Source organism: Homo sapiens, chromosome 3, assembly GCF_000001405.40.
Source record: "Homo sapiens chromosome 3, GRCh38.p14 Primary Assembly".
Lineage (NCBI taxonomy): Eukaryota > Metazoa > Chordata > Mammalia > Primates > Hominidae > Homo > Homo sapiens.
Genome location: NC_000003.12, coordinates 27797215 through 27823074, shown reverse-complemented (window position 1 = coordinate 27823074; position 25860 = coordinate 27797215). Strand labels below are relative to the sequence as shown.

The 25860-nt window shown below is 40.4% G+C and overlaps 1 long non-coding RNA gene across 1 annotated transcript in view, besides 3 other annotated features; it reads right to left on the bottom strand.

The window, feature by feature from the left end:
- Positions 1-25487, bottom strand: part of LINC01980 (long intergenic non-protein coding RNA 1980) — a 62738-nt gene extending 37251 nt beyond the window's left edge. Inside the window, exons 1-2 of the long non-coding RNA NR_146630.1 lie at positions 25164-25487; positions 20225-20311 (exon numbers count right to left, since the gene is read on the bottom strand). This is a non-coding gene — a long non-coding RNA (long intergenic non-protein coding RNA 1980). The remainder of the gene's footprint in view (positions 1-20224; positions 20312-25163) is intronic.
- Positions 586-786: a silencer, noted in NCBI's record as "peak4580 fragment used in MPRA reporter construct". NCBI's record gives its function as "represses an SCP1 promoter by STARR-seq MPRAs in K562 erythroleukemia cells {active_cell/tissue: K562}" and the evidence as "EXISTENCE:reporter gene assay evidence [ECO:0000049][PMID:32103011]".
- Positions 798-1345: an enhancer, noted in NCBI's record as "H3K27ac-H3K4me1 hESC enhancer chr3:27863221-27863768 (GRCh37/hg19 assembly coordinates)". NCBI's record gives its function as "activates a minimal SCP1, AML or CMV promoter by ChIP-STARR-seq in naive and primed H9 embryonic stem cells {active_cell/tissue: H9 hESC(naive and primed)}" and the evidence as "EXISTENCE:reporter gene assay evidence [ECO:0000049][PMID:30033119]".
- Positions 1346-1894: an enhancer, noted in NCBI's record as "NANOG-H3K27ac-H3K4me1 hESC enhancer chr3:27862672-27863220 (GRCh37/hg19 assembly coordinates)". NCBI's record gives its function as "activates a minimal SCP1, AML or CMV promoter by ChIP-STARR-seq in naive and primed H9 embryonic stem cells {active_cell/tissue: H9 hESC(naive and primed)}" and the evidence as "EXISTENCE:reporter gene assay evidence [ECO:0000049][PMID:30033119]".
- Positions 25488-25860: the final 373 nt, after the last annotated feature.

Here is a 25860-nt window from a genome sequence, read left to right as displayed (position 1 = left end):
TGTAGCCTCTTGAAAATCCCACTGCACACTCCTAATAGCATGAGAATGAAAAGGTAATAACATCTGCCACTGTTATGAAAATAGTTTTGCCCTCATGGACACCCTGAGATCTTAGGGAACCCTGTGGATTCTCACACCATGCTTTGAGAACCATTAATCTACTCCAACTAGAAGATTAGGCCAACAATACATTCTAGATCATGGAGCTGCTGAGGACGAGAGCCAGCATTTCTGCTTTTTGATATCCTCTCATTGACATGTGTCTATCTGAACAAGGCCACTTCCTGAGTAGTAATTCCAATCTGTATTAGTTAGGATAAAGCTAGTAAGTAGCAACGAATTAACTTCAAAATTTTCCTGGCTTATTTCACAATTACATAAAAGTCCCATATGGGACATAAAAGTCCTGTTTCACACCCATAAAAGTCTCTTAGGGTGACCAGTAAATCCCCCGTTTTCCTGGACTGTCCCAGTTTTGAAACTGAAAGCCCCACATTCCAGAAACTCCCTCAGTCCAGGGCAAACCAGGACAGTTGGTCACCTTAACCATCTCGTAGAACTTTGGGGCCTTTGGCAGAAGAGGAAAGAATGCAGAAGGCACACCCGCTTCTTAAAAACTTCAACCCATATGTGATACCCATCCCTTCCACTCACATTTCATGGTGGGGAGTAGTTACAGGGATATAAGGGAACCCAGGATGGGAAATGTAGTTGGGCAGCTGGGGTCTTTACAAGGGAGAATGTACATATTGGTTAGACCATTAGACACATTTGACAAAAAAAAAAAAAAAAAAAAAAAAAACCTAACTTTACTCCATAACACTGCTGAGAGTAAGGTAAGGTGGGCATCACAAAGGCTACCCATTATTCTGAGGGTTTTAAAGAAGATTTTAAAAACTTCAGCCCAAGAAAACATAAATGCCCTATACAAATGGTAGTGTTGATCTTATTTCCAACTTAATTTCTGCCTAGAGCTCTTGGTTGAAAACAATCATCATTCATTGATAAAAGAGCATCTTAATTTTTACAATAGTTGTTTCTTAAAAATGATGGCCAAGCAAATAATATTTTAAATGCATTAAGAAACTTCCGGGGAGCAGCCAAGATGGCCGAATAGGAACAGCTCCGGTCTACAGCTCCCAGCGTGAGCCACGCAGAAGACGGGTGATTTCTGCATTTCCATCTGAGGTACCGGGTTCATCTCACTAGGGAGTGCCAGACAGTGGGCCCAGGTCAGTGGGTGCGCGCACCATGCGTGAGCCGAAGCAGGGCGAGGCATTGCCTCACTTGGGAAGTGCAAGGGGTCAGGGAGTTCCCTTTCCGAGTCAAAGAAAGGGGTGACGGACTCACCTGGAAAATCGGGTCACTCCCACGCGAATATTGCGCTTTTCGGACAGGCTTAAAAAACGGCGCACCACAAGATTATATCCTGCACCTGGCTCGGAGGGTCCTATGCCCACGGAGTCTCGCTGATTGCTAGCACAGCAGTCTGAGATCAAACTGCAAGGCGGCAGCGAGGCTGGGGGAGGGGCGCCCGCCATTGCCCAGGCTTGCTTAGGTAAACAATGCAGCTGGGAAGCTCGAACTGGGTGGAGCCCACCACAGCTCAAGGAGGCCTGCCTGCCTCTGTAGGCTCCACCTCTGGGGGCAGGGCACAGACAAACAAAAAGACAGCAGTAACCTCTGCAGACTTAAATGTCCCTGTCTGACAGCTTTGAAGAGAGCAGTGGTTCTCCCAGCACGCAGCTGGAGATCTGAGAACGGGCAGACTGCCTCCTCAAGTGGGTCCCTGACCTCTGACCCCCGAGCAACCTAACTGGGAGGCACCCCCCAGCAGGGGCACACTGACACCTCACACGGCAGGGTATTCCAACAGACCTGCAGCTGAGGGCCCTGTCTGTTAGAAGGAAAACTAACAAACAGAAAGGACATCCACACCAAAAACCCATCTGTACATCACCATCATCAAAGACCAAAAGTAGATAAAACCACAAAGATGGGGAAAAAACAGGACAGAAAAACGGGAAACTCTAAAACGCAGAGCGCCTCTCCTCCTCCAAAGAAACGCAGTTCCTCACCAGCAACGGAACAAAGCTGGATGGAGAATGACTTTGACGAGTTGAGAGAAGAAGGCTTCAGACGATCAAATTACTCTGAGCTACGGGAGGACATTCAAACCAAAGGCAAAGAAGTAGAAAACTTTGAAAAAAATTTAGAAGAATGTATAACTAGAATAACCAATACAGAGAAGTGCTTAAAGGAGCTGATGGAGCTGAAAACCAAGGCTCGAGAAGTACATGAAGAATGCAGAAGCCTCAGGAGCCGATGCGATCAACTGGAAGAAAGGATATCAGCGATGGAAGATGAAATGAATGAAATGAAGCGAGAAGGGAAGTTTAGAGAAAAAAGAATGAAAAGAAATGAGCAGAGCCTCCAAGAAATATGGGACTATGTGAAAAGACCAAATCTACATCTGATTGGTGTACCTGAAAGTGATGGGGAGAATGGAACCAAGTTGGAAAACACTCTGCAGGATATTATCCAGGAGAACTTCCCCAATCTAGCAAGGCAGGCCAACGTTCAGATTCAGGAAATACAGAGAACGCCACAAAGATACTCCTCGAGAAGAGCAACTCCAAGACACATAATTGTCAGATTCACCAAAGTTGAAATGAATGAAAAAATGTTAAGGGCAGCCAGAGAGAAAGGTCGGGTTACCCTCAAAGGAAAGCCCATCAGACTAACAGCGGATCTCTCAGCAGAAACCCTACAAGCCAGAAGAGAGTGGGGGCCAATATTCAACATTCTTAAAGAAAAGAATTTTCAACCCAGAATTTCATATCCAGCCAAACTAAGCTTCATAAGTGAAGGAGAAATAAAATACTTTACAGACAAGCAAATGCTGAGAGATTTTGTCACCACCAGGCCTGCCCTAAAAGAGCTCCTGAAGGAAGCGCTAAACATGGAAAGGAACAACTGGTACCAGCCGCTGCAAAATCATGCCAAAATGTAAAGACCATCAAGACTAGGAAGAAACTGCATCAACTAACGAGCAAAATCACCAGCTAACATCATAATGACAGGATCAAATTCACACATAACAATATTAACTTTAAGTGTAAATGGACTAAATGCTCCAATTAAAAGACACAGACTGGCAAATTGGATAGAGTCAAGACCCATCAGTGTGCTGTATTCAGGAAACCCATCTCACGTGCAGAGACACACATAGGCTCAAAATAAAAGGATGGAGGAAGATCTACCAAGTAAATGGAAAACAAAAAAAGGCAGGGGTTGCAATCCTAGTCTCTGATAAAACAGACTTTAAACCAACAAAGATCAAAAGAGACAAAGAAGGCCATTACATAATAAAGGGATCAATTCAACAAGGAGAGCTAACTATCCTAAATATATATGCACCCAATACAGGAGTACCCAGATTCATAAAGCAAGTCCTGAGTGACCTACAAAGAGACTTAGACACCCACACATTAATAATGGGAGACTTTAACACCCCACTGTCAACATTAGACAGATCAACGAGACAGAAAGTCAACAAGGATACCCAGGAATTGAACTCAGCTCTGCACCAAGCGGACCTAATAGACATCTACAGAACTCTCCACCCCAAATCAACAGAATATACATTTTTTGCAGCACCACACCACACCTATTCCAAAATTGACCACATACTTGGAAGTAAAGCTCTCCTCAGCAAATGTAAAATAACAGAGATTATAACAAACTATCTCTCAGACCACAGTGTAATCAAACTAGAACTCAGAATTAAGAATCTCACTCAAAACCGCTCAACTACATGGAAACTGAACAACCTGCTCCTGAATGACTACTGGATACATAACGAAATGAATGCAGAAATAAAGATGTTCTTTGAAACCAACGAGAACAAAGACACAACATACCAGAATCTCTGGGACACATTTAAAGCAGTGTGTAGAGGGAAATTTATAGCACTAAATGCCCACAAGAGAAAGCAGGAAAGATCCAAAATTGACACCCTAACATCACAATTAAAAGAACTAGAAAAGCAAGAGCAAACACATTCAAAAGCTAGCAGAAGGCAAGAAATAACTAAAATCAGAACAGAACTAAAGGAAATAGAGACACAAAAAACCCTTCAAAAAATTAATGAATCCAGGAGCTGGTTTTTTGAAAGGATCAACAAAAGTGATAGAATGCTAGCAAGACTAATAAAGAAAAAAAGAGAGAAGAATCAAATAGACACAATAAAAAATGATAAAGGGGATATCACCACCGATCCCACAGAAATACAGACTACCATCAGAGAATACTACAAACACCTCTACGCAAATAAACTAGAAAATCTAGAAGAAATGGATAAATTCCTCGACACATACACTCTCCCAAGACTAAACCAGGAAGAAGTTGAATCTCTGAATAGACCAATAACAGGAGCTGAAATTGTGGCAATAATCAATAGTTTACCAACCAAAAAGAGTCCAGGACCAGATGGATTCACAGCCGAATTCTACCAGAGGTACAAGGAGGAACTGGTACCATTCCTTCTGAAACTATTCCAATCAATAGAAAAAGAGGGAATCCTCCCTAACTCATTTTATGAGGCCAGCATCATTCTGATACCAAAGCCGGGCAGAGACACAACCAAAAAAAGAATTTTAGACCAATATCCTTGATGAACATTGATGCAAAAATCCTCAATAAAATACTGGCAAAACGAATCCAGCAGCACATCAAAAAGCTCATCCACCATGATCAAGTGGGCTTCATCCCTGGGATGCAAGTCTGGTTCAATATACACAAATCAATAAATGTAATCCAGCATATAAACAGAGCCAAAGACAAAAACCACATGATTATCTCAATAGATGCAGAAAAGGCCTTTGACAAAATTCAACAGCCCTTCATGCTAAAAACTCTCAATAAATTAGGTATTGATGGGACGTATTTCAAAATAATAAGCTATCTATGACAAACACAGCCAATATCATACTAAATGGGCAAAAACTGGAAGCATTCCCTTTGAAAACTGGCACAAGACAGGGATGCCCTCTCTCACCACTCCTATTCAACATAGTGTTGGAAGTTCTGGCCAGGGCAATTAGGCAGGAGAAGGAAATAAAGGGTATTCAATTAGGAAAAGAGGAAGTCAAATTGTCCCTGTTTGCAGACGACATGATTGTATATCTAGAAAACCCCATCGTCTCAGCCCAAAATCTCCTTAAGCTGATAAGCAACTTCAGCAAAGTCTCAGGATACAAAATCAATGTACAAAAGTCACAAGCATTCTTATACACCAACAACAGACAAACAGAGAGCCAAATCATGAGTGAACTCCCATTCACAATTGCTTCAAAGAGAATAAAATACCTAGGAATCCAACTTACAAGGGATGTGAAGGACCTCTTCAAGGAGAACTACAAACCACTGCTCAAGGAAATAAAAGAGGATACAAACAAATGGAAGAACATTCCATGCTCATGGGTAGGAAGAATCAATATCGTGAAAATGGCCATACTGCCCAAGGTAATTTACAGATTCAATGCCATCCCCATCAAGCTACCAATGACTTTCTTCACAGAATTGGAAAAAACTACTTTAAAGTTCATATGGAACCAAAAAAGAGCCCGCATCGCCAAGGCAATCCTAAGCCAAAAGAACAAAGCTGGAGGCATCACACTACCTGACTTCAAACTATTCTACAAGACTACAGTAACCAAAAGAGCATGGTACTGGTACCAAAACAGATATATAGGCCAATGGAATAGAACGGATGCCTCAGAAATAACACCACACATCTACAACCATCTGATCTCTGACAAACCTGACAAACACAAGCAATGGGGAAAGGATTCCCTATTTAATAAATGGTGTTGGGAAAACTGGCTAGCCATATGCAGAAAACTGAAACTGGACCCCTTCCTTACAGAAACTTATATAAATATTAACTCAAGATGGATTAAAGACTTAAATGTAAGATTTAAAATCATAAAAACCCTAGAAGAAAACCTAGGCAATACCATTCAGAACATAGGCATGGGAAAAGACTTCATGGCTAAAACACCAAAAGCAATGGCAACAAAAGCCAAATTGACAAATGGGATCTAATTAAAGAGCTTCTGCACAGCAAAAGAAACTACCATCAGAGTCAACAGGCAACCTACAGAATGGGAGAAAATTTTTGTAATCCATCCATCTGACAAAGGGCTAATATCCAGAATCTACAAAGAACTTAAACAAATTTACAAGAAAAAAATAAACAACCCCATCAAAAAGTGGGTGAAGGACATGAACAGACACTTCTCAAAAGAAGACATTTATGCAGCCAACAACCTTACGAAAAAAAGCTCATCATCACTGGTCATTAAAGAAATGCAAATCAAAACCACAACGAGATGCCATCTCATCCCAGTTAGAATGGCAATCATTAAAAAGTCAGGAAACAACAGATGCCGGAGAGGATGTGGAGAAATAGGAATGCTTTTACACTGTTGGTGGGAGTGTAAATTAGTTCAACCATTGCAGAAGACAGTGTGGCAATTCCTCAAGGATCTAGAACCAGAAATACCATTTGACCCAGCAATCCCATTACTGGTATATACCCAAAGGATTATAAATCATTCTGCTATAAAGACACTTGCACATGTATGTTTATTGCGGTACTGTTCACAATAGCAAAGACTTGGAACCAACCCAAATGCCCATCAATGATAAAGAAAATGTGGCACATATACACCATGGAATACTATGCAGCCATAAAAAAGAACGAGTTCATGTCCTTTGCAGGGACATGGATGAAGCTGGAAACTATCATTCTCAGCAAACTAATACAGGAACTGAAAACCAAACACCGCATGTTCTCACTCATAAGTGGGAGTTGAACAATGAGGACACATGGACACAGGGAGGGGAACATCACACACCAGGGCCTGTCAGGGAGTGGAGGGCTAGGGGAGGGATAGCATTAGGAAAAATACCTAATGTAGATGACAGGTTGATGGGTGCAGCAAACCACCATAGCACATGTATACCTATGTAACAAACCTGCACGTTCTGCACCTGTATCCCAGAACTTAAAATATAATTAAAAAGTGGCCAGTTAGCAGGGCACCGTGGCTCACACCTGTAATCTCAGCACTTTGGGAGGCCGAGGTGGGCGGATCACGAGGTCAGGAGATCAAGACCATCCTGGCTAACACGGTGAAACCCCATCTCTACTAAAAATACAAAAAATTAGCAGGGCATGGTGGCAGGTGCCTGTAGTCCCAGCTACTCTGGAGGCTGAGGCTTGAACCCGGGAGGCGGAGCTTGCAGTAAGCTGAGATAGCGCCACTGCACTCCAGCCTGGGGGACAGAGCGAGACTCCGTCTCAAAAAAAATAAAATAAAATAAAATAAAGAAAAGAAAAAAAAAAGTGGCCAGGTGCAGTGGCTCGCGCCTGTAATCCCAGCACTTTGGGAGGCTGAAGCAGGTGGATCATAAGGTCAGGAGTTTGAGACCAGCCTGGCCAGCATGGTGAAGTCTCTACTAAAAATCCAAAAATTTAGCCGGGCATGGTGGCCCACACCTGCAGTCCCAGCTACTCAGGAGGCTGAGGCAGAATTGCTTGAACCCGGCAGGCAGAGACTGCAGTGAGCAGAGATCACGCTTCCAGCCTGGGCAACAGAGCGAGACTCCATCTCAAAAATAATAACGATAATTTATAAAATATACATTTACCATATGAAAAAAATAAAATATAATAAATAATTGTTTAAATTAATTATCTAACAATTGTTTAAATTAAAGCAAATAATGTAATAATTTGCTTTAATTATTAAACACAATATTTGCTTTTCCTTGACCTCATATTTTCTTTCCTTGAGTAAATTATAATTTACCTCCCAAACAAAAGCGAGCTTTATAAGGAAGTGAATATTGTAAAAGTATGTTAATCAAAAACTAGGTGAATACAGGATTGTGCCCTTTCTTTTAGCTTACTGGAGCTGCCAAATGTGGTATTTTGCTGAAAGTAAGTATAAACAATAAGATTTGAAGGCTTCATCTGAGGCACAATTGGGGACATATGATTTTATTTTTACTAAAAATATATATTCCAGATAAAGTCAGTATTAATATCCTATAAGAAAAATATAAAGTGTACTTTGTATTTACATTGTATTTTCTCTAAAAATCAATAGTTTGAAGTATAATATTTAGTATTATAAACACTTAAGTTGTACATCCTTCTTACATTGTTGTATATAATTCTAGGTTGTGTTTTGCTTTTCATAGTACATCTTGTCTGAAGGAATTAGTTGCTTAAAAAGGACTTTAAAAAATTCTCCTTTGGTTCTTGGTTGAAGCTCTTTATTTGAAATATAACTTGCCCAAAGCATGTAAATAGAAACAGTGGCGGTTTTTTCCATGTGACTTGCCAAAGAGGTGTTAAGAAATTTCTCTGTTTTTTCTATATGTGTGATTTGAAAAGAAGTGCTAAATTGCTAAAGGAAATTAAAATGGAGGGAAAAAATGGAATTCTACACATTGCCATCTTTGAGCAATTTCCGAGTCCTACATACTCAGTTAAGCTGAAATCCAAACTTTGATAAAGGAAAGACTTATTGGGAATAGGGAGGAGATAAAAATTAAACAAAAGCTATTGAGTTTGGTGTCCAGCTGAAATAGAAATGTTTTCCATATATTAAAGAGAGCACCCTGAAAGCGGTAAAATAAAAGGGTAGAATAACTAGTTTTGTTAGAAGGGCTTTTGTTTGGGAGGGGTGGCTTTGTTTTTGTTGTTTTTCTTTTCTTTTTATCGTATACTATATTATTTTTATATTATGTATAACATTTATATTATATTTTATTCTTATGTTATGTTCTTATATCATTAAATAGTCATAATACTTTACCAGTATGCAATATCCATGTAACAAAACTGCACTTGTACCCCCTAAATTTATACAAATAAAACAATAAATTAAATAAAAGTCATAATACAATAACAGGCTATTCAAAAAGAATAGGAAAACAAAGAAAAACAAAACAAAACAAAACCCTGTCTACAGGCCCAGGTCTCAAACAACAACCACTATTATCATTTTGGTGTAGTTCCTTCCAGTCTCAAAACACTTCTAAGAGACGGCTTCTTTTAAAAACAAAAACCGCTTCCTAAGGCACTTTGACGGTTCTGAGAAGTGGATATAGGTTTTGGTCTTGAAGAGCAATTGGTATTCATTTATTTTGTTTTTCAAAATCCAGGAGAGAATCATCCCTTTGATATTCCATCAGAGCACAAGGTAAAAGAAGAAAACATTAGACTGCCCAATTAAAGCCTGATAGACCTTTGTCAGCATTTAAAAGCCCTGCAGGCAGTCCCAGCCTTCTAAAATGGAGATTGACCATCTCCAATCATGAATCTGGTTTCCTTCTTCCTAATCCTCCCCAAAGATTGTCATCCAAAATCACATATTTATTTCACTCATCCTTCCATGTTGATTTTTTAATCTGGTCATATAGACAGCTGATTATGCCCATGAAAAAAGACACTGCAGGCCCAATGTGACTTCAACCCTTGGATCCCTGTAATACTATCTGCAGACACATGTCAAATGTTCTCCCCAAAGCCAGATGATCTCAAAACTCTGGGTCTTGCAACAGTCCCGATGCAACTGAGGAGTTCAATTGCCAGGTCTATCTTCATGCTGAAAAAGGGACACAGAGAGGCAAATACAACTGAGTGGGGAGGTGTGAGCTTGAATCACAATCCCATGGGAATTGTCAGGGAGTTTGAAAATAAAATTAAACCTCTTAAATTTTTTTTTAAATTCAGAATATTGTTCCATCTATCTTCAAAGTAGCCTTATGAAGTTGTTGAAATTAAGACTTGATATCTTTCACAAATGAGAAAAATCAAGGTTTGTTGAGGTAGGTCCAAACAATATTAGAGTCTGAACACCATTGGGATTACAATTTGAGATTTCTGACTCGTAGATCAATTAAACAATGTGTTTCTGTTGATTACCTATTGCAAATAAGCTTTCAACAGGCAATGCTAGTGTGGAATACAAACAATCTATAAATCTAACAGAAAAGAAAAAATATGTGTAAAATGTTACTAGAATTTTAAGTGTATGTGTAATTACCAAGTGGACCTTGCTAAGAATTTACAGAACAAGATGAGCACAGATTGGTGAGTAAGTTTTGGAAGACAGCAAGGTTTTGTGAATCTAGGCTCTGAATTTAGGAATGCCAAAAACATCTGTCTTAAATTTGCAGTCTACCTATATTAATAATAATAGAAAAAATATCTCAAAGTAGAACAATCCAACATTCACTGAGAAACAGAAAAACACAAAGAGGGAAAAAATGTAGTACTAAAGGAACAGCTTTTGTATCAGCCTCAAAGTATTTGAAGGGCTTGAAAGAGGGATTACATTTATCATCTAAGACTTCCAACCAAAAGGAAGAAATTTCCAGTGAAAGAAATTTTATTGTATCTTTAAGCAATACATAATGGAGAGTTGTTTTCTCTTAGAGATAATTTAGAAAGCATTCCCATATTTTTTTGTTTTTTTTTTGTTTGTTTTTTTGTTTTTTTGAGACAGAGTTGCCCAGGCTGGATTTCAATGATGCAATCTCGGCTCACCGCAACCTCTGCCTCCTGGGTTCAAGTGAGTCTCCTGCCTCAGCCTCCCCAATAGCTGCGATTACAGGCATGTGCCATCATGCCCGGCTAATTTTGTATTTTTAGTAGAGACAGGGTTTCTCCATGTTGGTCCGGCTGTTCTCAAACTCCTAACCTCAGGTGATCCATCCGCCTTGGCCTCCCAAAGTGCTGGGATTACAGGCATGAGCCACTGCACCCAGCAAGCATTCCCATATTGAGAGGTAGTTTAAAGAAGATGACTTTTCCTTTTGCAAAGCTCACTTAGTCTATAATACATTTTGTGATGAAGTGTTCAGAATATTGACAGAGCTATAACTATAATGCATGAGGCTGGGCCTTCACTAGGGAGAAAGAAAAGCCACATGTTTATGAGGCTTAGCACCCCAAACCTGCTCTCTGCTGCCAAGTATCTTGCCATTTGGCTGTTCAAAACTTTCTGCTTGTCAAGAAAAAGAGGCAAAGACACTACTTGTCCAACAGAAAAGAAATAGATATCAAGGCAGCTTCAGGAAGGCTCTGCCCTACTTCATGATGCACCACACAGTAATTGTATCTAAGGAATTCAAGAGATTTGTCACATCCTACAATTAGAGATACTTTCTAATGAAGTTATCTGGTCTGGAAACCTCTTCTTCAAGACAGTGAAATTCTATAGTTGTCACTCAGTAGTCTTTCTCTCTGTTCAATTCCTTAACAGATTTGTTTAATATCTGATATCCATAGCTCTTCATTAACTCATACAATTAGCAAAATGTAAGGGATAGGTACTTCATTCCGGGTCCTATGATTACTGTGGATAGAGTGGTGAGTAGAATAGATTGGGGTCTTGGAAAAATTATAATCAAATCAGAGAGAGATACAGGTTTTAACCACAATAATCATACAGTTGAATATATGAGTAAGACTACATTAAAATGTTATTAGAAAAAGCCACAGAGTACTATGAATATGTATTTGACAAAACTGACCAAGACTAGCAAGATCAGAGAAGACTTAGCTCTAAGAAAGTGATGTATTGGTTGATATCTAAAGGGACTTTACTGGGAGAATTGCAGATGAATAGGGAAGAAAGATCAGCATGCTGGAAGACCTAGAACACAAAGGGCCACGATACATAATGCATTTTGTTAGGACTGAGAGAAGGACCAGGTGGTTGAAGAAATGAAATAAAGGGGCAGCCTATGAGAGACAAGGTTGCAGAGATTGATGAGGGTCTAGTCAGTAGCTTTTTCATGTGAGCAAGAAGACACTGCTAAGAAGATAATGGCAGATTGGGCTGGGGAATATCTGGAGTGATAACAAGAAGGGGCTGGATTGGAGAATTACTTAGATTGCAAAATCAACAGACTTTGGTGTTGGTTGCAATTTGGGAGTGAAGGAAGAAGAGGTATTTTTCCCTACTTTCTGGTTATGCAATTGGATGAATGGTGCTGATGTTCCCTGAGATGGGAAACCTAAGAACCAAATTTGGGGGAAGATCATAAATTTGATTTGGGTATGTTCATTTGAGGTTCCTTTGAGACATTCAAATGGAAATATGAGTTCCTTGTTAGATACTTTTGTGATCGGAATTCTTAGCCAATATACAGATTAAACATTGCTATCTTAAACTCTTCAAAATAGCTTGAATAATTTGGTGAAGAGGACCTAAATATAATCTCTTCCCCTGAAAAACAACCAAATAGCATGTAATAATAATTTAAAAGGCATTTGGAAATCAGACTTCTTTCTACAGTGACGGTTATCTATTTATTCATTTATACCCACTCAAATATCATATATTAAATATATAGATACATATTATAATTTTAGCCTAATTAATATTACACAATTGACCTGCGAAAGCTATCAACTTTGGGTAATTTATGTGAGTGTTTGTGTGTGTGTATGTAATTCTACTCACTAAAATATGTACTCATGAAGCATCCTGAGATAAAATATATTTAACACATTAATATTAGAATAAATATTTGTAAAAGTCATAAGCCCTTATTCAGATATCATTGTATTTTGTTTAATAGGAAGAATCAATTCTAGAGCTTCAAATACATCTGCTTCAATTGTGTCCTTTAACTTAGAAGTAATGTGTAATTTAGGTAATGCTGGATTGTTGAAAGCTGCCTTCATCAAGATGCAGTATCAAAACAGCCCTATGCAACAAAGCACTTCTACACCCATTCATAATCAGGCCACTATTTGCTAACAAACCTCAAATGGCTTTCATGGGTAATGGGTTGACATATCATCCTTGACACATTGCACATAGGGAACATGCTTGACTCGGTCTTGCAGCCCTTCAGGCAGTACAGGATTGCAGGCGTCCACATCCATGCCCACTAAGTTGCACGGGTGCCCTTCATATGTAACCAGTGGTGATAGATGTGTGGATTTTGATTCCAGGGACTCATAAGGTGGAGTAAATATTAACATTGTACAAAAGTTTGTTAACTTGTTAATGTACTTATGGCTCATTAGGACATGTAAATGAGCTATTTATAATCTGTAATGTAGCATTTGTGGAGATGAATGAGGAAAGCATGCTGGGAAGTTTAATAGAGCCTGGGTCCTGTAAAAGGGTGTTTTGAGACTTGAAAGTATGTCTACATTTGACTAAGGCCTTTTCATCTTACCACCAAATCACACTGAAAAGCGAAGAGGTATATATAGACCAACTGCTATTTTGGCAAGATGACTTCAAATATTAGCCTTTTTGCTTTTTTAGTAATTTTTAAAAATACGATGATTTCTGAATACACGGCTTTCAATCTTTAACCCCAGGATACATATTATGCAGTTGCCACAGTCCTTTGGAGATGTTCAGGTTTGGAGGGGAAAAAATACCCTGATTACACAAATAGACATTTTTAAGTATAACTATTCATGCCCCCTTCCCCTACACAGTATCCTGACCTGTCCAGATCCTTGGTAAACTGGTAGTCACCATACTTGGGACTTGTACCAGAAAGAGGGTACGAGTTAGGTAGAGATACAGAACTGTGGCTGCTGGGAAAAGCTGGTAGGTTGATTTCCTTAAAAAAGGCCAGGGAGCCATTTCCCAAAAGAAAAGTCTAGAAGAGCCATGCAGGACTTTGAAAGAGAGAGAGAGACATGGAGCTCCTAAGCCTGGGGGACCTTCGAGGAAAGAGTCACCTCAAGAGAATGTGCCAACATTTTTGCTGTAAGCGGCAGCGTAGATTTCTCACTTTGTTACTTCTTATGGAGAATTCAGTACACACGTTCATTTAAGACTCTGGAATAGGAATTCATGTTTCTTTGGATGAAACAGATTTTAGAGGAAATAAAAGACATAGGATCATTCAAGGTGCACCCACGCACTTGGGGGTTAACTGCCACAACATTTAATAGTGTACCTCAGAAGCAGTTGCCAAGTATGGACTCACATAAGGTGGACATACACTGATCCCATACTCCATGTGTAACGTCGCCTTTTTACTTCCACTCCAGAAGCAAATAAAACTGCGCATGACTAAGAGAGACAAGAATCTAGAAAAACCCAACTCTAATTTATAAAAACAGCATCTCGTTTACTAATTCCAGTATTTTAACCACTTTGAGCAATATGTAGAGAAATGTAACCTGGTGGTTTGGAATTGGGCTTTGGAGTGACTAACAGAGTCTTAATCCCCACTCCAGCCCTTCCTAGTTGGGTGACCTTGGGCACATTATTTAAGCTCTCAAAGCCTACATTTTCTCATCTGTAAAATGGCTGTTGAGAGGTTTGAATAAAATAACGTATATAATTGACACTTTGCACTATGTATGTGGCACAGGAAAAATAATTAAATGTTTGCTATGATTATTTTTAGCAACAAATGACCTGAGAAATTTCTCACTACTAATGAAAAGAAGCCAGGAAGTTATAATACATTGCTGTAGGCAGCCTCTAGTGTTTTCCTAATTTTGTAAATTCAGAATTTAATTTTCTTGTTTTGCTTAGGGTTTAATTTTTATCAAGTGGAATTTTTTAGGTACACATATCACTTTATCTTGTGGTGAGCACTTATCAGTTGTAAGCTGAACAGATAATGTTCATAGCCTTAGGATGTAAAATAGGCAACATATATAATTTATACAGCACTAACAGAAGGCTTTTCAGGCAAATAACAAACAAAAAGGAAAATGAAGAAATGTTGACGATGAGATTTTCAGTATTGGAAACTTAAAATTCTGTCTTGCTCTTGACTCCTGGTCATTCATTTCTTTAAGCATTGCATGTGTGTGCATGCCTGCTACAAGCCAGGCACTGAGCTAGGCACCTGAGATATAGCAGCAAATGAAGCAGAGGATGGTCCCTGCCTTCATGGAGCTTACATCCTATTGAAGGTTGGCTATCATCACATTATGTTTAATGAGTCAAGAGTGGTGCCAAGAAGGAAGATGAATCTGGTGCTTACCATCACTTAGGTCCTTTTTCAAGATTGTCTTCTTAAGGCCACTGATTCCTTCTTAGCTAGGAAGGAATAAATGCGTTTAAGTAGGTAGCTGCCACCAGGAGACAAGGAAAACACAGGTAATTCTGTTTCTTAAAATAGTTAGGATTTCCTGAGGCACGGAAAGCTCAAGTTAAAATGCATTATATGTGTTTTCCATGAAAAAATGCTCATCATCACTGGCCATCAGAGAAATGCAAATCAAAACCGCAATGAGATACCATTTCACACCAGTTAGAATGGCAATCATCAAAAAGTCAGGAAACAACAGGTGCTGGAGAGGATGTGGAGAAATAGGAACACTTTTACACTGTTGGTGGGACCATAAACTAGTTCAACCATTGTGGAAGACAGTGCGGCGATTCCTCAATGATCTAGAACTAGAAATACCATTTGACCCAGCCATCCCATTACTGGGTATATACCCAAAGGATTATAAATCATGCTGCTACAAAGACACACGCACACGTATGTTTATTGTGGCACTATTCACAATAGCAAAGACTTGGAACCAACCCAAATGTCCATCAATGATAGACTGGATTAAGAAAATGTGGCACATATACACCATGGAATACTATGCAGCCATAAAAAAGGATGAGTTCATGTCCTTTGTAGGGACATGGATGAAGCTGGAAACCATCACTCTGAGCAAACTATTGCAAGGACAGAAAACCAAACACCGCATACGTGGAAATTGAACAATGAGAACACTTGGACATAGGATGGGGAGCATCACACACGGGGGCCTGTCGTGGGATGGGAGGAGGGGGGAGGGATAGCATTAGGAGATATACCTAATGTAAATGACGAGTTAATGGGTGCAGCACAGCAACATGGCACATGTATACATACGTAACAAACCTGCACATTGTGCACATGTACCCTAAAACTTAAAGTATAATAAAAAATGCATTATATGTGTTTTTTATTAAAAATATAACCACTTAATAAAACCATCATTCAAGCCAATTGCTGACCTCTAATATAAAATTGAAATCAAGTTCAGACTACATAAAAACTTCTATGTACCTATGTACAGTCAGACGCTTTTCGACAAATATTCGACTATTATCATTTGATTCTTAATATAACCCTGGTTTTCTGCCTAACTGGCATAAAGAAATCTAGTTGCTCTGAACTCTTTATTTAACTGAAAAGCAGTACAAAACACATCCCAGACAGGAGCACTGACTTCCCTCTTGAGCAATTTGTCACGGAATTGCTTACCACTGCTGGAGGTGCCCCTGCTGAGACTCTGAGCCACTTCTCAGATTTCCCAGCAGAAAAGACAAAGTTGTCTCCTGAAGGTTTTCTCATCATATCCTTAGACAAAAATTCTAGTCTTACCCAGGATAAATAATCTCAATTGTAGAATCTTCTGTGAGGTCCTTTTGATTTGTGATTTGGGTCTTCTGGGTCTCATTTTCTTTTTCTTCCACTACATTGCACAGATGTTTTCTAATTAATTTCTTACAGTCCAAGTCATTATTTTACTCAAGATACTGGTTTGTCATTTCTCTAGAATCACCAAGACACTTTGTTAGCACACCAAATCAGTGGAAAAACCCTGAGCTGAGATGGTCACATGTAACTGATAGCAATGGTGTTATGCTTGCTGTTTGAGCCAATGAGATATTTTCATGCCTTATGTCTGTTTCCCAGCCCCAACCCCTCTGCCAGGAGAAGCTATATGCTGCTCACCTGTCAAGTCCTCATAAGTAGAAATCACGAACTCAAGGGCTATTAACTGAAGATGCTCTGTTTTCTGGAGTAGGAATGTATACACATACACAAATGTGTGTGTAGTCCTGCCTCCAGAATAGCTAGGACTACAAGTGCATGCCACCGTGCCCAGCTATTTTTTATTTTTTGTAGAGACACGGTCTTACTACGTTGCCTTGGCTGGGCTCCAACTCCTGCCTCAAGTAATCCTCCTACCTTGGCCTCCCATCTCTCAAGTCCCCATAAGTAGAAATTGTGAACTCAATGGCTATTAAATAAAGACATTGTGTTTTCTGGGGTAGGGATCTATACATACACACATAAATGTGGGAAAGTTGGGGGAGCCCCTGATAGCTATGTCCCAAGAGTTCTAACCCTGGAAAAAACAGAATAAATGATACTATAATATAGCATAGTTTTAGTGAAAATTAAAAATAAATAGTTCTTCCATAGACTAATATTTTACGTGTTCTGAAGCAGTATATATAAGTATTACTGAGGCAAAGGAAGGGTTACTAAAGAGAAAAAATAAAAGCACAAACATAAATACCAAGCCTTCAGCATGCCCCCAGAGGATGTTTAATTGTCAGATGAATAGTTCAGACCTTTCATGATAAATGTCAAATGTTTGATGCTTATAGAAGAACAAAGTAAATTTGAGACGGAAATTGGGCCTTGGCTCAGTGTGAGAAGCTGGGGCTAAGGAGCAAGAATTTGTGTGCTGCACAGGAAGGCTGGTATGCTGAGAGCCAGGGCATCCGGGCCCTGGTGATTATGGGTAAGTCATCAAGTCCCTCTGAATGACAGGCTTTCATCTCCTCTACTGGGGCACAGACCTGCTGCAAGGGGCACCTTCAGCTGATTCTAAACTGATTCTAAGCCACTGCCCCTAGATTCTGAGTCATCATGAACTGTATTTAGAAATAGGCAAAATAGATTTTCTTTATATGACCTATTCAAAGGCTGAGAACACACAACCCAATGCTAGCTCTTTTCCGCATTCTCAACGCTCACCTACTCGGAATCTATCCCTTTTTTTTCTACTTTTGTGAGACAGGGTCACCCTCTGTTGTCCAGGCCGCAGTGCAGTGGTATGATCATAGCTCACTGCAGGCTTGAACTCCTGGACTGAAGTGATATCCCTACCTCAGCCTCTGGAGTAGCTAGGACTACAGGCACATGCCACTGTGCCTGGCTAATTTTTTATTTTTTGTACAGTTGAGGGGTCTCACTATGTTGCCCAAGCAAGTCTCCAACTCCTGACCTCAAGCGAACCTAAAGTGCCAGGATTACAGGTGTGAGTCACTGTACCCAACCTAACACTTTCCTTAGTCAAACTTTTTCTCACTCTGACCCCTCCGTGTTGTTTCTGCAAGTTTGCATATTCTTTACAATTAGTTTTCTAGAGAGTGATAATAACTCTTCTATGCATTCTTGAATACTGTGTTTTGGTGACTCTATTATTGTATGGTCTAGTAGAAAAGCATGGGAAAATATTAACATGCATTAAATGAACACTCCCAATTTCTCTTTTTTTTTTGAGATGGAGTCTTGCTGTGTCACCAGGCTGGAGTGCAGTGGCGCAATCTCAGCTCACTGCAACTTCCACCTCCCAGGTTCAAGAGATTCTCCTACCTCAGCCTCCCAAGTAGCTGGGAATACAGGCACATGCCACCATGCCCAGCTAATTTTTGCATTTTTAGTAGAGACAGGGTTTCACCACGTTGGTCAGGATGGTCTCGATTTCTTGACCTCGTGGTCCACCTGCCTCTGCCTCCCAAAGTGCTGGGATTACAGGCGGGAGCCACTGCGCCCAGCCCCAATTTCTCATAAGGAGAAAAAAAAAAAGAACGGAAAATTCTGGGCTCTGGAGTCAGAAGACATGAGTTCAATACCCAGCTCTGTATCTTTCTAGCTGTGTGACCCTGGGCAAGTTACTTAATCTCTCTGATCTGTAATATTGTTAACCAAAAGAAGGTGGTAAACAATTCTGATTTCATAGAATTTCTTAAAAAGTCCTTGAAATGTTGGATATAAAGTGCCTGGCACAGAGGAGACACATTATAAATCATATTTCTCTGCCCTTTCTCAAGAAAATTACCAGTCCTTGAAGGGAAGGATGATTATTTTATGTAACTCTCTGGTAATCTCAAACAGCACAGTTCTTTGTATATGGAAAGTATTCAATCATCACTAGTTGAAATGAATCCTTGAGTTGATGAAAATCAAGAGAATTGAGGATAAAATGTAAAGGAAAGAATGCTTGACCTCTAGTTCAGACATCAGATCTCGGTTCTGATTCTGTGAATGGCTGACACACCATGTGCCCTCTGGGAGATCCATCTTTCGCAGTGGCTCACGCCTGTAATCCTAGCACTTTGGGAGGCCAAGGGATGCGGATTGCCTGAGCTCAGGAGTTCAAGACTAGCCTGGGCAACATGGTGAAACCTGGTCTCTACTAAAATACAAAAAATTAACCAGGAGTGGTGGCATGCACCTGTAGTCCCAGCTACGCGGGAAGCTGAGGCAAGAGAATCGCTTGAACCCAGGAGGCGGAAGTTGCAGTAAGCTGCAATTGTACCACTGCACTCCAGCCTGGGCAACAGAGCGAGACTCCGTCTCCAAAAAAAAAGAGTGTTGAACTAGAGCAGAAGTTGCAAACTGGTGACCCTCAGACCATATCTGACAGACATGTTTTGTTTGGCCCACAAAGCAGTTTTTTAAAAATTCAGAGCCAGGCATGGTGGCTCATGCCTGTAATCTCAATACGTTGGGAGGCCAAAGCAGGATTGCTTGAGCCCAGGAGTTTGAGACCAGCCTGGAGAACATAGGAAGACTCTGTCTCTACAAAAATAAATAAATAAATAAATAAATAAATAAATAAATAAATTGTTCAGGTGTGGTGACCCTACTCAGGAGGCTGAGGCAAGAGGGTGACTTGGGTCCAGGAGGTAGAGGCTGCAGTGAGCAGTGATTGCACCACTGCATTCCAGCCTGAGCAACAGAGCAAGATCTCATCTCCAAAAAAATAAAAAATAAAATAAGTGAAAAAAAATGAATGATTTGTTAACATTAAAAATTTATGAAATTTCTTTTTAAAAAATTCAGATTTATGAAATCTTTTGGAAAGATCTGGCACCCTGGGTTCACATTGCCTCCTGACAACAGTCTGATGGAGCTAAAGGCAGCTTCTCCTGCAGTTGAGGTATGTGCTCTCCAGCTCACACAGTCCCCTCCTGACTCACTTCACTTTTTTGCATTGGCCACCTCAGGCCTGGCATTTGATTCTGAAACACTAGACTAGACAAATTCTAGAATCTCTAATTGTTCTAGCTTTTGGAGATAGAGAACCAAATTGCTGGGGGCATAACTGATGATGGGACCAGAAGTGACTTACAGCAGGAGATTGTCTATTGTCCTCTGTGGGTCCAGCGGCCTCCAGCCAGTTTCCTTCCCTCTTCTCCACTAACACAGGCTGAGCAGACTGAGAACATAGAGGTTTACAAATTAGGGAAACTAGAAGAAACCAAGCTTTGGCCTCTAACTGTTGCAAGCATATTTAGTAAAATAGCTGAGACTTCATTGCTTTCAGAAAATACTAAGGAGGAAGCGATAGCTTCCCCTCTAGAAGCATCTCAGAAAGATCCCTTGGGAATAGAGCCATGTGAGGTGTGAGAAAGTGGAGGAGAATATGACTTTGCTGGGGAGTGGTGGGCTTTCTTTTTGCCCTGCCTAACTCCATGGGCAGAGTTAACTCTGTGGGCTTTCTTAGGCCACAGAGCTCCATATCCTCAAAACAATATCTCACAGGAAAAAGAAAATGTGGAGCTAGGATTTGCAGACTATGAGTTAGCATCAATGGCTGCACAAATATCACCTAAAAGCCACCTCTGGTAAACAGTCTTGGCAGGGCAGCTCAGTCTTCTTAGAAAATTGGCCTCATATGTTGTAAACAGATGGATTCAGACAGAGACACTCAGGAACATATCTCCAGTCCTGGTACTTAACCCTAACACCAACTGTCTCTACCTCAGCTTTCTGACAGATCCAATGGATTCCTCAAAGAATGGCACCCAAATTGCTCTACTAGGTATCCACACAAATGGCAAAGCAAAAGAACAGGCAGACCTGTGGCTAAAGCAAAGGGAGAGAAAAAAAACAACATTTAAAGAAGAGAAGGCATTTATGAGTAATATGCTGTGGTAGTTAAATCCTTATCTTCTTTGAATTCTTTTAGAAATAATATAAATATAAAAAGACAAGTAATTTTCTCACCTAATTTGCTTGTGGAGCTGATAATTAAGTGTTGTTGATTGCATCACCAGAATGAATTTGTGATACTTGCTGTAGTGTCTCTGCATATTTAAAGACGAAAATGTTCTTTCTGGTGCTTAGTAAAAATATCATTTTTATGAACCCTTTCCCTCAGGCAGTTCTGTAGCCTCCATTCCCTGTTTATGGAGCTGCAAGACTCCCTGTCTGAGATATGACAAAATCAACTTTACACCTAAATGTGCCTGTCAGCCCAACGGCTCCTTAACTCTGAGAAAAAGGCCCAGATTCAGAGGCCTACAGAAATTCCAGACATTTTCAGAGAGATCTTTTCCCCCAATGATCTGCATGTGTCTTGATTATTCTAACCCCCACCCCCCTTACAGTTGAAAAAAATGGTAGGGAGGAAAAAATGTTTAATGGTTAAAAACTCCAGCTCCGGAGGCATGCCAAGTGCGACTTGCATGAACTTGAAAAAATTACTAAATTCTTTGACCCTCAGTTTCCTCACCTTCAAATGGGAACAATACTAGTAACTCATAGAGATTTGGGAAGGATGAAATGAGTGAATGCATGGGAAGCATTAAACACAGGTCTGGAGCACAGTAAGAGCTCCATACACTGTAGATATCAACATAGCCACCATCATCATCTTCACTATTCTAGAGGTATTCAAAGTAGTTGCATATCAGAAAAACCTGAGGAAATTCTTAAAAATACATATTCAGAGATCCCACACCCAAAACCATATTAGAACTGAGTATGATCTTGATTATTTCTTCTGAGATCCTTGGGTGAATAAATGCTCAGCTAGGCCTGGGAACCATTGATCCAGGCCTGCCTCCGCAAAACCTTAGGGGCTGAGCACAGAGAGTCATGGCTTTAGAGGCATTCAAGGTAAAAGACAGAGCAAGCACCCCACTGCTCCTTGAAGAACCATGGAATTTAGTCCTCAGGAAAGACTATCACCATAATTATCACTGGGTATAAGTAAGCCCTCTTCTCTCAGCTTTCTTACCTACTGGTGCCAAGGACACTCATTGCTAACATAGAGAGGTATTCCAAAGAGATTGAACTTGCTCATTCTTTGAGCAAGCATCATAGTAGAGACAGCAGCATAAATACGGATGAAGTATCTTTTTTTAATAGGATTGGTGGAAGACACTCAATTCCAACTTTTTAAACAAATTTGCCTGATTAAGTTTAGCTCCCATATGGTTAGTTACTATTCTTTGCATAAATATGCTCAGTTGAAATGGTCAGCAAGATACATTACTCCCATGAGATATGGTATTCTCCTGCTAGTTGAGACAGAGGTAGGAAAAGAAGCAAAAAAGTTCTTCATTCCAGTTGGCTGTGTCAGACGAATAATTGTTTGGGCTATGGATCAGCAGTTTTTACTCAAGCTTTCTTATGTCTGCTGCAACTCAGGCGATGGCTTCATGAGAAACCAGTGGGGGTGACTGGGGTGACCAGATCTTCACAAATTCTCAGAACTAAAGACAGCAAGCAAAGCCTTGCACTTCCCCATAACATCACAGCCATGAGTGATTCATCTCTGGTAACCCACTGCAGGCTGGAGTAGGGAAAAAATATATCATGCACACATCTCATTTCCATTTCCACCGTCTCTTCCATTCAAGAAATATCTTTGTTGGTATCTACCAACAACATTCTAAGAGGGATAAACATACATTTGGTCTAGTTCATAAAAATTGAATTTTCAGTGGGGCTTGGTGGCGTGGCTCATGCCTGTAATCCTGGCGTTTTGGGAGGCCGAGGCAGTGGATCACCTGACGTCGGGAGCTCAAGACCAGCCTGACCAACATGGAGAAACCCCATCTCTACTAAAAATACAAAATCAGCTGGGTGTGGTGATGCATGCCTGTAATCCCAGCTACTTGGGAGGCTGAGGCAGGAGAATTGCTTGAACCCAGGAGGCAGAGCTTGCAGTGGGCCAAGATCATGCCACTGCACTCCAGCCTGGGCAACAAAAGTGAAACTCTGTCTCAAAAAAAAAAAAAATTAAAAAATAATAAAAATTAAATTTTCAGAGTTCTTTTTTTTTTCCCAAATGTTATCACTTTATTGGGACTTATAGCACAGCTACCAACTAATACTAGGTTTGAAAGGTATTGCTGTAGAACAGTGGTTCTCAGCTTGGGGTGATTTTGACCTCCTCACTGGCAATGACTGGAGACATTTTTTTTGCTGAAATAACTGGGGCAGGGTACTGCATAAGGGCATCTGGTAGTTAGAGGCCAGAAAGGCTGTTAAACATCCTATGATACGCAGACAAACTCCCCAATCAAAGAATTATCTGGCGCCAAATGTCAATAGTGTCCAAGATCGAGAAAACTGGCAGTAGAAGAATTTGTAAGATCCAACTCCTGCTCACCTCTAAACCCCTGGGCCCCATCTGCACGGCAGCATGTCTCTTTTGCACCCCATCAAAACATACAGATCACCAACATTGTTTTTTATTGTTGGCTTGAAGGGCAGCCTCCACAGTAGGTGACATCTGTTTGCCGAAATCTCTCCCTCCCAGGGGTAGCTGGGAGAAGTTTATACTATTTCAGGCTGACCTGAAGGGTTACAATGGCACAATTAGCTTGTAGGTGGCAATAATCCAGTCCTGCATCCTAGAATAACTAACTTGAGTGTTTAACTAAATTAAAAAGATGAGTGAATTGGATGTAATCTGTACTGCTTTTCTGTGTTTAGGAAGATGAAATAATCAGAAATAAATGGAGTAAGGTGCTAAATAGACAGCATGTGGATTAACTACAAAAGGAAGTTAACACTCCATATTGTATGGTGAACATACTGTCTTGTATAGCCATTGCTTCTGCTGCTGCTATTGTTATGACTTATAACCACCCTAAGATAGAGTGCCCTTAGGAAATACATTCTCTATACTGAACTCCGGCAAATTTTTTTTAATTCTTTATTTTTAACCACAGAAAAGAATATCTGAAAACTGGAAGCAGTAAAACATCAATAATATGTGAAATCCTGGGGGGTGAGATGTGGAAGCCCTACTATTTACTTTTCATGCATGTTTTGCTTTCCTGTAATCTCATTTTCACCAAGTGATCCAGTGTTTCTTTTTTCTTTTTATTATTTGAGACAGAGTCTCGCCTTGTCACCCAGGTTAGCACGATCTCGGCTCACTGCAACCTCCACCTGCCGGCTTCAAGCAATTCTCCTGCCTCAGCCTCCCGAGTAGCTGGGATTACAGGCATGTGCCACCACACCTGGCTATTTTTTGTATTTTTAATAGAGACAGAGTTTCACCATGTTGGCCAGGCTGGGCTTGAACTGCTGACCTCAGGGGATCCACCCGCCTCAGCCTCCCAGAATGCTGGGATTACAGGCATGAGCCACTGCACTCGGCCCGGTGTTTCTTTTTGTGACTACGAAAAAGGATGGTTGTGTCTCTGAATTAGTCATTAGCCAATGAGTATCTGCTCTGAATCCGCAGCAAAAATGGAAACAAAATAATCATTTTAAGTTCTCATTAAGTAAAACACATGGAGGTCGTTGTGAATTTTGTTCTGTTGGAAAACTTAAAAGGAATAAATATCATCTTTTTTACTCTGATCATTCAAATTTTGCCTCCTTTAAGTGCTCATCCTGCTGGATTGTAGAGAAATTCCCGGGTTTTATGAGCACTCACCACCACCACCTTCGCCACCACCTCCGCCACCACCTCAGGAAACTTAAGGAGGCACCAGGGGTCTGAGGCAGCCTGCAGTGTTAGGTCACTGCGATATTCTGCCCTGGTTTCTACCGACGAGTTCATTGTCCAGTTGGTTCCTAATAGGACTGCTACGATAAACAATTCCAGAGGGTACCACTCACCATAGACCAAGTGTAAATTGTTCCTCTGGAAATGTCCAAAAAATACATGTCACCTCAATGCTGCTGTGCAAAGCTGTAGCACAGGAAAGACTGCCAATTCTGGAAGCCTCTGCAAAGGGGGTCCAGCCAGCCGTTCCCTTCTGATACTCCCCCTCCTCCCGGGAGCACTGTGCGGCGGCAGGATGCCAGTAATCACATACCTCTGTCCTTCCCAGTTTTGGAAAACTTCACCAGAGCTTCCAAGACTCCTTCTCCAAATCTTCTTGATTTTCCTCTTCTAGAAGTCACCCACCCACCTACAATGAATGTATCACCAGAAACAAACGTAGTCTTTTCTTCCTGGGGTGGGAGGAGGGGAGGGAAAGTTGGAGATAGAAAAATGAGATGTTAAAATGAATCTTGTTTTGTTTTGTTGTTTTTCTAATTCACCTTGATCTCCATGGGGCTGAGTTAGTCCCAAAACTTTTTTGAGGAGGGATCTGCAATAAATTGGCAAATGAGAAGAGGAGAGCGCATCCCGGCGCCATTACACCTCATGAAGATGAACCCAAGTGTGACCCGTAGCATGAAAGAGAAGGAAGTAGCTCAAGAGTCAAAAATCAGAAAGGAAAAGCAGCTAAGATAAATTTTGAAGACAAGGGCAAAGTTTACGTTCATTTATCCAGAGTACAGTAGTGATAAAGAAAAGAAACTTTTAATCTGAAAAATGCAAGCCCCTTTAAATTATCAAGCCGAGAGAGGCATTGAAATGTGACAGCAATCAGTCTCATTCTGCCCCTTGAGCTAAGTCATTACCTCTTGAAGCCACTTACCATGAGGGTTCTAGGCTGACCAATGCCAAGTGGCCACAAAGTTAACCTAACAATGCCATACACTGGACACCATAACTCATATCCT